Here is a 550-nt window from a genome sequence, read left to right on the forward strand (position 1 = left end):
GCTCCTCCTCAAACCAGGTCACTCTGTGTGCCCAGGCCAGGTCTGTGTCCTTCCCCCAGGATGCACTCCTGTACCCCCGAGGCTTCCTCCAGCCCTCAACCAGCCTGATCAAGGAGGGCCAGGTCTGTGATGGGGCTGCTTCCCACACTGCCTGAGTCACTCCATGCCTGGAGGGCTGAAAGGCAGTACCCAGAGAAAGCACAGAGCTGGGGATGGGGGTGACCCTACCTAAAAGTGTGGTGTCCACTGCTAGCTTCCTCCAGCCTCAGGCTGTCTCAAAAGGGAGCTCCATGCAGGGCCCCAGCCCCTCCCTGCCCTGAGTGCTGTCCTCAAGCCCAGGAGGCCCCAGGCTGTGCCCCAGGGACACTGGGCCTGCAGGTCCGTCATCCTGGCTTGTTCCCATTCCCACCCAAGGAGGTCTCCTGGCTCTGGCTGGAAACTAAACATATTGCTTTGACACCAATGTCAGAAGCCCAAAGAATTAAGAGTAAAATACCAAGATGGCTTGGTATTTTAAAGGAAGTTAAGGGAAGCTCTAGGAAACGTTATG

The sequence above is a fragment of the Homo sapiens genome, chromosome 3, assembly GCF_000001405.40.
Source record: "Homo sapiens chromosome 3, GRCh38.p14 Primary Assembly".
Taxonomy (NCBI): Eukaryota; Metazoa; Chordata; class Mammalia; order Primates; family Hominidae; genus Homo; species Homo sapiens.